Source organism: Homo sapiens, chromosome 5 (genome assembly GCF_000001405.40).
Source record: "Homo sapiens chromosome 5, GRCh38.p14 Primary Assembly".
Lineage (NCBI taxonomy): Eukaryota > Metazoa > Chordata > Mammalia > Primates > Hominidae > Homo > Homo sapiens.
This window is the reverse complement of record NC_000005.10, coordinates 90,640,816-90,655,021: the sequence shown is the minus strand read 5'-3', so window position 1 is coordinate 90,655,021 and position 14,206 is coordinate 90,640,816. Positions and strand designations below refer to the sequence as shown.

The window sequence follows — 14,206 nt, the reverse complement described above, 5'->3', positions numbered from 1 at the left end:
AGTTTAAAAATTATCTTTCCAAATTACAAAGTACAAAAATAACAAGTTCCTCTGCAGTAAGTCAGAGGAAAAAACACCAGCTCCCACTTCCCCCAATCGTTTCCATTCTCATTCCACCACCACTACCATCACCAAAAGAATCAAGGCTAACAGATACTTGTAGGTATTCACACAGCCAAAAAGTGGATAATACCACAAAGTGCTTGTAACCAAAATCCATGGGATTGAAATTGGTAGATACGTGCATTTTCCTTTGCCTATCTTTTTTTCCCCCTCTGGGAAAAAAAATAGAACCAAATAACTAATGTAAGAGGTTCAGAGGAAAATACTCTATTAAGCTATAGCCATATAAGCTCTACTCTATCTTTCACGAAATATAAAAAAGAATAAAATCATAAGATGGAGGGGCTGAGAGGGAATGGTGACTATAATGCATATAACCAGTATTTGTGTGCACACACACACAAATGTGCTTCTTGAGGAATCAGCATATGATCTAGTTTAAAGACAACAAAGAATATCTCTTCAAAGCACTCTGTAGAATTCACCAAGTTACCTGCTGATAGTATGAACCCTATAATCACTTTTCACTGTGATTCTTCTCTCCTGCTTTCTTTTCAACCTCACGCCCACCACCCTCTACCTTCAGCAATACTGAACTAGCAGCAGTTCCCCAGGTGCAACACGCTGTTTCACATTTCTATTCCTTTGTTCATTCCTCTGCAGGAATATCACTCCCCATCTCTCCTACTACCCACAGAAGGACAAACATTCCTCTTTCATATTTTTTTCTGTCTTCCTACAGGGTGTCATTGTGATATATCACACATCTCTCTGCTAGGGTTTATTCCAGGTTCTTTAAGGGCAAAATTCTCTGATTCATTTCTGTAACACTCAGGACAGAATTTCTCATTATCTTGGTAGGCACATAGTTTTGATTAAAGAAATTAAACCAATGCATAAGTAGAGTTTTCAAATACATGTTAGCACTTTTTTAAAAATCTAAATTTTAATGAAAAATTTTAGAAACTGCAAATTTCAGTGTCCTAGTTGTGATGATGACCCTCACCGTCAGTAATGGCTTCTCCTTTCAGACTCTTGATTCCCCTGGGCATTGCATTTCCATCCAGGTAGAATTCGATTATACCATCCTCCAGGATAATTAGTAGATGAAGCCAAACACTTTCTTCTAAATATTTCATGACTGTTGTCTTGGCAATGTATGTAGCATTGGAACCCAAGGTTTTATAATGAAGGGAAAGTGTCACATGGGATTCGTTTGTTTGTATTTTTACCCCGTAGTAGATGCTTCCATTACCGTCATCCTTCGCTATAATGAATCCATTCGTATTGGCATTGGGCATTACCCAAGCTGAGAATGTAAAGTTGGCAATTGTATTATTCCTGGAGGGATGGTATTTTGGATTAACAGTCCCAAATGCACCCTCTAGTCCGGTAAAGTACAAAGCATCCGTTCCACTGTGGTGACGCCGCATGTGCTGTTGTAAATGCACGGTGGTGGGGAAAATTCCAACCAGTAAAAAATCTATCATTGGTGGCAAACCAGCAGGGAACTCACTGGACAGTATTTCCCAGCCCAGTTGTACATCACCAAACACACCCTGCTGCCTCAAAATGGTGAAGTTGGTAATATAAGACATATCATCTTCAGACAGGACATCTTCTGCCACTTCTCTCTCTAAACACTCTGGATCCAAGATAAAAACTCCAAAGGGATCATCATTGAATGGAACCATTACTGTCACCTGGAGGTTGGTTTCTGCTAGCTGGCCCCCAGGACCTGGGGATCCACCTGTAACAAGAAAATTTATGAGTGAGAAACTAGAATTTCAAGTACTTTCTAGTATAATGTGAAGAAAAAAGAATTTGTTTAGCAGACAAACTTCTGGTTAAATAATTTACTCATTATCAATGAAAAGTAGTGTCACCATGTGGCTTTCACCACATTTTAGGGGCAGGATATGAAATAATATTTGTTCAGCATAATTTTATTGATAATCAGTCAAGCCTGAAAAGAGTATATGAATTAGAAAGGTTTAATTCTGTGCTTTTTAAAACCAAAAGTGATGCGAAAATTGATTGCTTAAATTATGACACAAAGATCAAGCTTTAAGCTACCATGAATCCTTACCTCCTACCTTCCACTAACGTCTTGTTGGAGACACTATAGTTGGTGTGGAGAAAGTCTATTTGCATGTTTGAGGATGGATGTAGGCCTCCATCCCTAAAACTGAACCAAACTAAGATATCAAAAAAGTGAATGTTAAGAATAACACTTGAAACAAGAAGGGTATTTTAACATTTAAAATCAGATAGTCATGACACAAATACTTCACCAATTGCATTTTGTATATGGCTCTAATTATCTAAGTATAAAATGTAAAATTTAGTATAAATAAGACATGGAAATAAAATAAGACATGGAAAAACACAGTACCTGAAATGTTTACAAGTTTTAGGAAATAAAATTCATTGAATTCAGGAATTTTATCTGGAAAAGCATGGAGAATGATTGGTTTTGCTTCTTCTCCATCCATGAAGTTAACAGTTCCTGAAGTTTCATAGAACTCCTGCCCAGGCTGCAAAGCAGAATCATTCTGAAAGAGCTGCCAAGATACAGAAACACTACCAAAGTATCCTCGGTGCCTCAAAATCCTACAAAATAAATTAAAGAAAATTTATAAGTAGTGAATCTTACTCTAATGAGAGCTTCCTGTGTTATTAAGGAAACATATTTTTACTATCTATTGTCTTAAAAGAAACAAACCAGCTGGTTCTACGAGGCAAACTATGAAGAATTTCATGGGAAGAGAAGAATAAGGTAGAACTTTAATAAAAGAGAAACAGTCATAAAAGTCTTGTCTTCAAAATCCAAACTGAAAGATAAATTCTAAGCTCCATCAAAAAATACTAAATGACAGTTGGAAAAAGTTTTCCAAAAGCAAAGTACAGGGTGGGGGTAGTCACATATCATCTGAGAGAAGAGTTCCTGAAGATCTTGAATAATTCAAGTTTCTCAGTCTCACAAAGGATTGAAGTTTGAACGAGGGGGGTGGGGAGAATAATTTCTGCTTACTAGCTAAAAGATTTTTTTTTTTGAAGATAAGTGGCAACAGCATAAACAAAGTTTACCACTCATTCAGACTGCCAACTTTGAAATTACTCAATTCTTAACCAATTTTTAAATTTTGAAGGAATATTTCAGAATTTCACATACTTAATGGTTTTATTTCACCCAATTTTAAACTTGCCTTATCTACATATGCTTACCAAAATGCATTAGTCTTTCCTTCTTCCACTGCTTTGTCTATGGGCTCCAGAGAAAAAATGCCATTTGGGTCATCATTAGCTTCAATTATTACTGTAGCTACTCCATATTGATATACTACTGTATCACCTAAATTAAAAGTGGAAAAGACAAAATAACAAAGAAGTAGCTAACTTGCTGTAAAATTTATACTTTTAAATTAAGAAAGTTTACAATTAAGTTGAAAATTTCAGCAAGAATTTCCTCACTGAAGGTCATATAATAAATGCAAAATACTGCTCCATATTTCCAAAGATGTTTATGTATACACACATAAGTACAAACATACATACAAAGAGAGAGAGAAAGAGAGATGCCTACATAATTTCAAGATGAAATAGTTCCCATTTTTTTTAGTTACAAATGAACTATTTTATTGAAAAACACACTTTTCTTCACAAAAGGAATATACCTTCAATAGCTTAATTAGAAATTAAAAACATAATTTCTTCTATTTTCAAATTTCTTAGGTGGATTCTTTTATTTCATACAAATAATAAAGGACTACCCAATAACATAAAAATACTACTGTCTGTGTTCATTGGAATCACTGGCTTGAGTGTTTCCCTTTACATCTCTGCCTTCAGGCAGCAAAGTTTGATCTGGTTGTACATAGAACAAAGTAGTCTCCATGGTTTGGGCTTGATTCCTTTCTACTCCAGTTCTTTGCACAGTATATTGGCACTGTTATTGCCTACACATTGGGTCTCTTCTCATCACTTCCCTGAAGTGCCTATCTCTTCATCTTTACTCCAGCTGTTGCACAGGGGAGCAAAAGTCCTTCCCATCTTCACTCACCTAACTTATCATTCCTGAGAACCCAGCTCAAGCAACAACTCTTCCAGGAATTCTTCCTTGAATCCCCAGGTTAAGCTAAGTGCCTCTCCAGTGTGCTCCCACGGCACTTTGCTCTTTGTCAATCTATCATAACAATGATCATATTATATTGGGACACACACACACACACATACACATACAGACATACACATAATTTTACTATAAGCTCATTGGACTAATGATTCTTATTCAATTCCATGCCCTAGAAAAATAGATGCTCAGTAACCGGTGCGCAGAATTTATTTATTGCTGAACTGATGCAACTAACACTTTCAAAAACAGATGTATACAACACCTACAGCTAAAATTATAGAAACAAATTTTATATATAGCAAACCAGCTTATCAATAAAAATTATACAAATATACAACTGTACTCAACTTCACTTGATAATTCAATGGAAAAAAGACACAAAAATAGCAAATCATTGTGTAGAAAACGCTGACAATAAATAAAGAGCATATAATAAAATCTAACAAAAATAAATAATAATAAAACCTAATTTTGGCAGGGTTCTATTATCATATGCATTTGTAATGAAACATGTCCCAGTGGTGCTGAAAATTCATTCTGTTTCTCTGCAAGATGAACTAGCAATATTTAACAAGGGCTTGAAGGATGGCCATATCCTTTGATCCAATATCAGAGCATATGCTCTAAATGATTAGCATCAGGATAAACAGCCACTGCCAGCACTAGGTCATGTCAGAGATGCTGCCTCTACAGTGTCCCATCATGGGTCCCACAAGTCCTTGATGTTTTGACATCGAAAAGGAGGAAAGAGCTAAGAAAGGATGTATTAAAAAATCACAAGCTCTAGAGATTTTTGTCATCTGAGCCTTCTTAACGAAAGTAATTGGATTCTCAAATGTCATCATTTCTGGAAAAATATTAAAGACAAATGCAGCAGCAGTACGAGGTAGCACACATACCTCAGGCCAGTAACCCAATCACATCTTGTGTTCTCCCTCTCTCTCTCTCTCTCTCAAAATCAAATATTAATAAATATATTTTCCCAATGACATATTTCACAAACTAACTAAACCTCTTTTTCAAGCGTCAATTTCTGGCTAGGCACGGTGGCTCACGCCTGTAATCCCAGCACCCTGGGGGGCCCAGGCGGGCGAATTGCTTGAGGTCAGGAGTTCTAGACCAGCCTGGCCAACACGATGAAACCCCGTCTCTACTAAAAATACAAACATTAGCTGGGTGTGGTGTTGCCAGCCTGTAGTCCCAACTACTCAGGAGGCTGAGGCAGGAGAATTGCTTGAACCTAGGAGGCAGAGGTTGCGGTGAGCTGAGATCACACCACTGCACTCCAGCCTGGGCAACAGAGTGAGACTTCATCTCAAAAAAGAAAAAAAAATGTCAGTTCCCCTACTCTTTACAAAAGGTTCAGGATGTTTTGATTCATTCACTATTTAACCATATTGGCGTTTTTTTCCTAATGACAGCTTAACCACAGTGATATTTTTGAGACAAAAATGTTTACCAGAATCACACTAAGTTAATAAATGTCATCAAGAACTTATTTCTAGAGTAAATAAATTCTATTAAGATAATATCATTTTTCACGCCTGTAATCCCAGCACTTTGGGAGGCTGAGGCGGGTAGATCACAAGGTCAAGAGATCAAGACCATCCTGGCTAACATGGTGAAAACCTGTCTCTACTAAAAATAAAAAAATTAGCTGGGCATGGTGGTGTGCACCTGTAGTCCCAGCTACTCGGGAGGCTGAGGCAGGAGAATCACTTGAACCTGGGAGGCAGAGGTTGCAGTGAGCCGAGATTGCACCACTGCACTCCAGCCTGGTGACAGAGTGAGACTCCGTAAAAAATAATAATATTAATAATATCATTCCTTCATCGCTTTTCTGTATTTCACAGTAAAACTTTGTTTTCCACTTTTACTTCACTAAAATTATTTTTATCTGTAGCAACTCCTTTCATTTAAATTTTAGAACAACGAATGGATTCACCAAATGTTTTTAGTCTACGTAAGATCTGACGATGTTTTTTGCAATTGTGAAATTGCCCTTGTGGGTTTATTCTACAAATTCAAATTTTCCTCACAGGATAATAGTTTTTAGTTTTAACTTCTTTGTTAAGCTGTGTGAAAAATGAGAGGCAGAGAAAGACAAAAGGAGAAAAAGAGGAAGCAGAATAGAAACAGAGACAGCAATGAAGAAAGTCAAAGAGATAGGGAGAATGAAAGACACAGCTAAAACAATAATTAAGAGATCTCTTTCTCTTCCTCAGTCTTTCAGTCCAAAAGGCACAAGGTGGAACACAACGTTGGCATTCCACTGGGGGTGGCAGACAGGGCATCATGGTGACCCGATGCAAACGTTAGAGCTCATGGGGGCATCTCTATAGGAGAAAATACACTAATGTATTTAGGGTGATAGGACATCATGTCTTTACCTTACTCTCAAAAGGTTCAAGGAAAAAAAAACTCCTTGTACTATTAAAAGAATAAAATAACTATCAAGAGAAGCCATAGGCCTTTCCAATTTACAGAAGGTAGAGCCAAAACATTCTCAAATCCCAAAGAGTGGGGTTAAAACATCCTGTTTCATTTACAGTATGGAGAAGGACGAACACATCTTTTTCACTTGCAGATTGTCATTCATTTTGGCCATGGCTCCAGAGAATTATCAAACAGTTGAAGTTAGCTGCCTACAGAATTAAGCTTCCCAATCAAGTGTGCCAGCACCCTGCTCCAAGGAAAATGCTACAGGATACCTATCCCTTAAGTCGCTGGGTGACTAAGCAATACCTAGGGAAGCCGTATTCCCAAGTCCTGTTACTTTTAGCTGTAAGAATTCACTTACTTATATATCAGAATTTTCTATTTGTGCCATATCATAAAGAAAAGGTTAAAAAGGATGTCATAAAGGTTCAACAAGTACATAAAGGTTCAACACATACATTCTTCACCCCATTTCTCAAGAAAGCAATGAAATAATTTTACTCTTGAATAGTACAAATGTAGTTAGGCCCTACTTGTCCTCATTATTGGACTGCAGTGCTTAATTTCATCTTATTAAAGCACTGAGGCAGATCTGCCATAAAAAAGCATAATTTACTTACCTGTTGAATTCAAGAGGATTATATAAAAGGGCTCATCTGTTTCCGGGATACCATCTTCATTAACAAATATGGATATGCTCTGCTGTCTACTTCCAACCTCAAAAATGAGCGTTTCTCCTTTTTCAACAGGAATGAAATCTCTCTCTCTTGCAGTAGCCTTCCCATCCTTGGTAGCATACTGGACCATGCAAGTCACATCAACAGATCCATTTCTGAGAACTGTAAAGTTGGCAGTCTCACCTTCCTGAACCCTCACTACACGAGGTTCTGAAATATCCACAAAGAAAGAACACATGAGCTTTTCTGATTCCATCACATATTTTCAGATCACATTGTGCTTCTCCCTGCCCTCCAAGAGAGAAGCCTTGTACTGTGTCTTTGCCAAAATAATTAGCTCTGTTCCCAACTCTGACATGACTACCCTCTGATTATTTCAACAGTCAATGGCCATCCTCTTGCCTTAATCCTACAAAAATCCATTATCTTCAACATCGAATTTCTCAGCAAATTGCATGCTATTTCAAATCCTCTGCTTACTATTTCATAAACCTCATTTCTAAGTTGAGGATGTAACTTCCTTGAGAACAGGCCCAGAGATCTTATGTTTTATATTTGTCACAGCAGTTACCAGAAGGTTGAACATAAGGCTAATTCATTAAGTACACATTAACTGAAGGTTAAGAATACAAATCAGGCTGGGCGCAGTGGCTCACACCTGTAATCCCAGCACTTTGGGAGGCCAAGGCGGGCAGATCACAAGGTCAAGAGATCAAGACCATCCTGGCCAACATAGTGAAAACCCGTCTCTACTAAAAATACAAAAATTAGCTGGGCGTGGTGGTGTGTGCCTGTAGTCCCAGCTACTCAGGAGGCTGAGGCAGGAGAATCACTTGAATCCAGAAGGCGGAGGGTGCAGTGAGCCGAGATCACGCCGCTGCACTCCAGCCTGGTGACAGGGCAATATTCCATCTCAAAAAAAAAAAAAAAAAGAAGAAGAAAGAAAGAATACAAATCAATAAAATACAAAAGGCTTACAAGATTCCTGCAATTCCTGCATTAGGTAAATTAACCCATATATAGCTGACAACAAGGATTCAAGAAAGAGTTACACAACAACCGTTTCATAAACAAAACCAAAAGATGCCTCAGGTGGCCAAAGACAGTTCTGAAGAAAGCGTTAAAGTGGCAAAACGAAGAAATTTTAATTAATATTTCCCTTAAAAATTAGTTATTATAGTGTATGGCCATCCATTAGGCATAATACTCAGGTCCTTCTAATACATAATCTAGCCCTGAACCAACTAGACTGTTTATTTGAAGAAATCACATGGAGAAGTGTTTTCTGCACAAAAGAAAAAAAAATACCGAGAAATCTGAAAGGGGGAAAAAGATAATAAAACAGTACTTATTTTCTTTTTGCTTCAAAAAATTTTTGAAGTATTAGTCAAAACTTCGAACAATTAAATAACAATCCTCGAATGAATTACAAAATCTTTAAACAAGCATCAATTGTGCTTTATTGAAAATGTTCAATGAAAAAAATTGCTAAATATATATGTATATAAATGTATATACGCACGTGCATATAAATGTATATATGCACGTGCATATATACATTTATATATACTATTTAAGAAATATGTAAACTCATTCAAATAAGACAGCAATACCACCTGCAAAATAAATGGGGTCATCATTTCTTCTAATCCTCAGAGTTGCAGTTGTTCTATTTCCCACTTTAGCTCCTCCAGTGCCATTCAGTAGGATAACGGTAAATTCTTCCATTTCTTCTGGAATCTTTGGAAAATGTTACACGTTTTAAGTCAGGTGACTTATACATATAAATTACATCATATATTCTTAAATTATTCAGTTTTTTTAAAAAAGCACCATTAACACTACCATTATTCATTTCCTTTTCGGAGGCAGAACTTCCCCTAACACATTCAGGTAAGACTCAGACCCCCCCAAAAATTAGTTTCATGTGCATTCATACAAACAGCCACTTCATTTAGACTAACTATGAAATTTAATGGAAATATAGATATTTTGCCTTATATAAGCTAAAAACTGATATACCACAGAGGTCATATTATTTCTGCAGGAAAATGGGAGACATGTTGATTTTTAAGATGAAACATAAAAATAACTTTTTGAACATTTAGAGCAGAGTTTAGAGTAACTAAAGCTCAGCCAGCTCACAAAGGCTTCTTACAAACCTTACTGAAGTTTTAACTGCATGGGTCATAAAGGCCTCACTCCATGTCCTAACAAGATTTGATTCCCCACATTTCTGAGCCTAAATGGATCCCCAGGTGGACGCTGTTTCTTTTTCACGTCATCCCTGTGAACTGGTGCTCCCCTCCCCCTAAAACAGAAAGGTATTCGAATTTTGTCTCTTGAGGAATGGGTCTGAGGGAGAGGGGACTGGCCTCCACAGCTGTTCTAAGTGTCACTCTCCTAGGAAAGGTTCACTTCCTGTTGTTATTAAGATCTTTCTCTTTACTATCTGTAAGAAGAAATGCCATGTTTGGTCCATGACTCATGCGACCCCGTGTCCCGGTGCTGAGACTGCACCACAGGACACTTGATAGATGACCTTGCCTTCAAAGGGACTAAATACAAGCCGAGGGCTTCGCCTCTCCAACTAAGAATCCCTGATACTGGATACATGAGCAGTGTCACTGACCACTCTCAGTTCTAGAGTTCAACATGTCTTCAGGGAAACCAAAACATAATACTGCTCTTCTGGTTTATGGTCAGACACTGTCACACCTGAGTTCTTTATTACAAACTTTTATCACAAAATATATTACCAGATGTTTAATTATTTAATAAAAAATAATTATTGATCAACTACAACAAGTAAGGCAGAAAGTTATATGCAATATTTACCTCATCTGGAAGGGAGTAAATGGTGATATTTTTTGAAAATTCCTGATCTCCAAAGACAACAGTCCCTTGTACAGGAAATACATCTTGTGTAAAGTCTGGACTAACCACCCATGATACACTAACATCACCAAAGTTGCCTCGATTTCTTACTACATCATAAACAGCTGTGAAATGGAAACATACATAATACATATGAAGACATACGAAACTTTTAAAATGATGAGTAAAGAAATCGGTTAAATAAACAAAAATAAAAACAACACCTCTTTTTAATAACTGCCAACTATTTGCTTAGCACAGTTTTTAAGGTACATATAAAAATATATTAGCCTGTTCCTCCCTCTGTAGGTATATAATAAATAAAGTAAATGGACTCATTTTTTTCTAGTTTGGGATTTTAGAAGTCAGTTGGCATGGGAAACAGAATGATGACGAATTAGGCACACCTATCATAAAGTCCTGTAAGGATATCTGCTAAAAGCAGTTACAGGAAGCTGCATGCTCAAGTGTGATTTCCTTATCCAGACAGACACTGCTCTAAAAATAAACTATTTATCATTTCCAGTCACCTCAACAGTTCCGTAGCAGTAGTTCTTAGTTTTAAGGTTCTCGCTATTTGGATGGACTCATTCTTGAGTGTTTGAGTTGCACTGCATATGCTTAAATGGTATCAAAATATAACTGAAGTCATCAGTATCATCACGATACTATGTAAGAAATAAAAATCATGGTCCTAAATATGATTCTAAAAAAAACTTCCGCACTATGTGTAATTTCTAAGGCAGGGTGAGCAACTAGAAATAACTAGTTACTAAAGAAATAACTAAAAAAATTATATTTCTTCTTCAGTAAACAGAAATACAATATAAGACACAGAATAAATTACCACTATAGATAGCATCTCCTTTGCTTTCATTTATCATCACAATTAGACCATCAGAAACAAATTCTATAATGCCATGAGGATCATCATTTTTCAGAATCGTTATATTGACAATGGTGGCACTTCCCAACTTGCTTTCCCGTTCTCCGTGGCTGCTGAGGACCACCCAGTAGTGTTCATCCAACTAAAGTGAATGTGTCAAAGTATGGAAATTATAAAGTTGACTTTTCACAACAAATTTAAAAACATAAATATTCAAGAATATTAATATACTCAAAGTTTCAGAAGCATATAACTCACTGAAAGGACAAAAGAGGTGGTATCATTTCTTTAAAAATTAACATTCTCCTATCAATTAAGAGACACCAGAAATACGTATACATTGTCCAAAAAGAGAAAAAGAGAAACAATGATACTACTCTAAAATGGTAAGAAAAGTGGATGTTATCTCTGATGATCTAGTCACTTAAACTTACAAAAGTGAATAAAATAAAATTAGAGTTACATATGTATTGGTGAGTAAGCATAATAGAACTATACCTGGTTCCATTAATATAAAACTCAAATTTCTTTTTTTGAACAAAGTAATTCTATAGCAAAATTTCTTCAGTTTAAAACCACATCATTAAAAGTTCAGTCAATACATATTACCTAAAGGAAGCCTTAACATGAATAAAGCTAAAAGGAGATGAAAACTGATCACACACTGAAAGTCTAAGATTGTTTGTTATTTCTTCATGTGGAGCAAAAATACACCATTCTAATATGAATGAGTCTTCATTTTTAAACCTTTTGTTAAAAATTTTCCAAATCTATGTACTTCTCAGTCTTTTCTTGCCCACCTCTTTCCTGTCTCTTTGCCAATATTCAAAATATTTATATTCATAATATACCAAATACTATCAATCTTACAGAGAAACACAAAGAAAATATAAAATCCCATACCTCTGGTATCCCATCCAATCTTGCTAGCAAGGTGATCACTATCTCCCTTTCTCCAGGTTTAAATTCTAGTACTCCCGTGTTTCCATAGAATTCATTGCTATCTCTTGGCTCTACTCGGTAGTGTAGAAACTGCTTAACAAGGGACCCCCTTGATCGGATGATGTGGAGCTCTACAGATTCTCCTTCCTTTAAAAACAAATCCACAAAAGTTGAAACCCTTTGAGATCATTCTTCTAAAGTTGTGAGCACAGAATAAATGGAAGTTTTTTTCGTACTTACTTTTATAACATAGGGTCCTCTGGAAGCAGGAGAAAATTCAAAAACTCCCCCAGGGTCATCATTTTCCAAAATAATTAGGTCACGGCTAGTATATCCAGATTTCAGCACTTGGTTTTCCACGTTAACCCTAGAGAAGTCAGAGAGACAAATGGCACCCGCTACTTCCAGTTTTACTTCTGAATTTTGCAGGCTTTTAAGGCAATATTTACAACTCTTCCAGATAATGAAAAGGAAGGCTATGAGGAATTAGACCTTAAGTGAATTCACGTGTGTTGAAATCATTTAAGATCAAAACAGTTTTACTCATAACAGTTATGAAAGAACTTCTATTTCTGAATTCATTACATCTTTTTTTATTTGACAAAAACCAAACACTACATATGTACACCAAGAATACTGTAACCAAATGTTATCAATATATTTTATTTATATAAAGCATCAAAATTTGCAGATTTGATTCCAGTTTTAGAAAAATTTAATTTGTAACATGTAGTTAGAAGATAGCTTAAAACAAAATTGTGTTTCAATTTTACATACACTTGAATTTATTTTTAAAACTCATTACATAAGATTATACTAACTGAATAGAGCACATAATAGCTGGATAACTAAATGGACTAAAGCAAGCCACGCTGATAAAAAATAAACACAATTGTGATTACATTTTAGGAATATGTTGTGGTTTCAAATGCCTTCTATTCTCCTTAATTTTAAACCTGTGCTTTTTTGTCTTTTAGTATAAAAGAAAATGTAGGGAATATAAGAAAAAAAAGAATAGAATAGATCTGAGATGCATGACATGTTATACCAATTCCTACGTATCTCCAAAAGAACATATTAAAACAACATGTTTTTTAAATTTCTGGTTTTAACGTTCAAAGCATAATTAGAATGATCAAAGGGACTTGGACTGCAATGTTCTGAGAGTTTAAAAGCCAGCAGGCTCTTAAGAATTATCAATCCTGCAAGCTGCTCTAAACCTTGCGAAATGTCACGTCCTATTGAACCAAAAATATATTCATGCTCAGACTTCAAATCACAATGAAACCACAATTCATATGTAGAAATATGTAGAAAAAAAGCTCACTTCCTATTTAACAGAGAATCTGAATTGTCATCCTTCCCTAGTTTTTAGAAATCTGATAATACTTAGCATGCTAGTGGCCACAGAATAGTCTAAATAATAGGAGAGTTATTTTATATTGTTAAAACAGTCATAATTTTCATACCAAATTTGTCCATCATTTATATCAATATCCTCATTAATTAAAATTTCTTATATCCACATAAGCTAGGAAAGAAAAAACTGGATCAGAATGCAAAATATAAAAATCCATTCTGAACATTAAACAAATTTATTTTTAAACTTTCTTAAAATATGCTACCCTTAAGTGAAATGCAAATTCTGAAAAGTTCTGTATACGGCTCTGAGATATAAGCAATAAATTGCTTAGATGCTCTCAGAAAACCAATGGAACCGTTCAGATAATTGATTGCTAATTCTCTGTTAAACAAGCTACAAGATTCATAAAAGACATTGGGTAAAAATTTCAGAAGTACAGCACAGTAATTGTTCTTGAGGTTATGTGGACCTACAAGGAAAGTTAAAAATTTTAAGTTCGTCTAAATGTCATTACACTAATTCTCAAATTTCAAAATACTTTAAATGCATTCACAGTGCAAAACTCTTAGGACCAAAAATAAATAAACAACTTTGTGTAAGCTCCCCTTATCATTAGAAAATGAAACTGCACACAAAGCATGCATGGCCAGGTGGACAAGCAAAATTTCCCAAGACCTGTAATCATGCAGAACAGCAGTCTCGTCCAAAAACAATCACTTGCAAAACAAAATACTGAATCACCAAAAACAAGGTATTATTTTGTACACTTACCCAAAATACACGACAAACCTTTCAGTTTCTACCCTGTCAACACAGAAAGAAGT

The 14,206-nt window shown here is 35.7% G+C and overlaps 1 protein-coding gene across 14 annotated transcripts in view, besides 2 other annotated features; it reads right to left on the bottom strand.

The window, feature by feature from the left end:
* Nucleotides 1-14,206, bottom strand: part of ADGRV1 (adhesion G protein-coupled receptor V1) — a 605,641-nt gene that overhangs the window by 509,416 nt on the left and 82,019 nt on the right. For all 14 annotated transcript variants that reach the window (NR_003149.2, XM_017009963.3, XM_017009969.3 and 11 more), the window contains 9 exons: nt 12,260-12,386; nt 11,981-12,166; nt 11,039-11,219; nt 10,153-10,316; nt 8,931-9,054; nt 7,258-7,524; nt 3,292-3,418; nt 2,459-2,676; nt 1,070-1,813 (listed from right to left, as the gene is read on the bottom strand). Coding sequence is in view for 13 of the 14 variants with exons in the window: in XM_017009963.3 (XP_016865452.1) it covers nt 1,070-1,813; nt 2,459-2,676; nt 3,292-3,418; nt 7,258-7,524; nt 8,931-9,054; nt 10,153-10,316; nt 11,039-11,219; nt 11,981-12,166; nt 12,260-12,386 (2,138 nt within the window). In the remaining variant the exon portion in view is untranslated. The remainder of the gene's footprint in view (nt 1-1,069; nt 1,814-2,458; nt 2,677-3,291; nt 3,419-7,257; nt 7,525-8,930; nt 9,055-10,152; nt 10,317-11,038; nt 11,220-11,980; nt 12,167-12,259; nt 12,387-14,206) is intronic.
* Nucleotides 9,600-10,103: an enhancer, noted in NCBI's record as "NANOG hESC enhancer chr5:89940736-89941239 (GRCh37/hg19 assembly coordinates)". NCBI's record gives its function as "activates a minimal SCP1, AML or CMV promoter by ChIP-STARR-seq in primed H9 embryonic stem cells {active_cell/tissue: H9 hESC(primed)}" and the evidence as "EXISTENCE:reporter gene assay evidence [ECO:0000049][PMID:30033119]".
* Nucleotides 9,789-9,868: an enhancer, noted in NCBI's record as "active region_22782". NCBI's record gives its function as "activates an Ori minimal core promoter by ATAC-STARR-seq in GM12878 lymphoblastoid cells {active_cell/tissue: GM12878}" and the evidence as "EXISTENCE:reporter gene assay evidence [ECO:0000049][PMID:35858748]".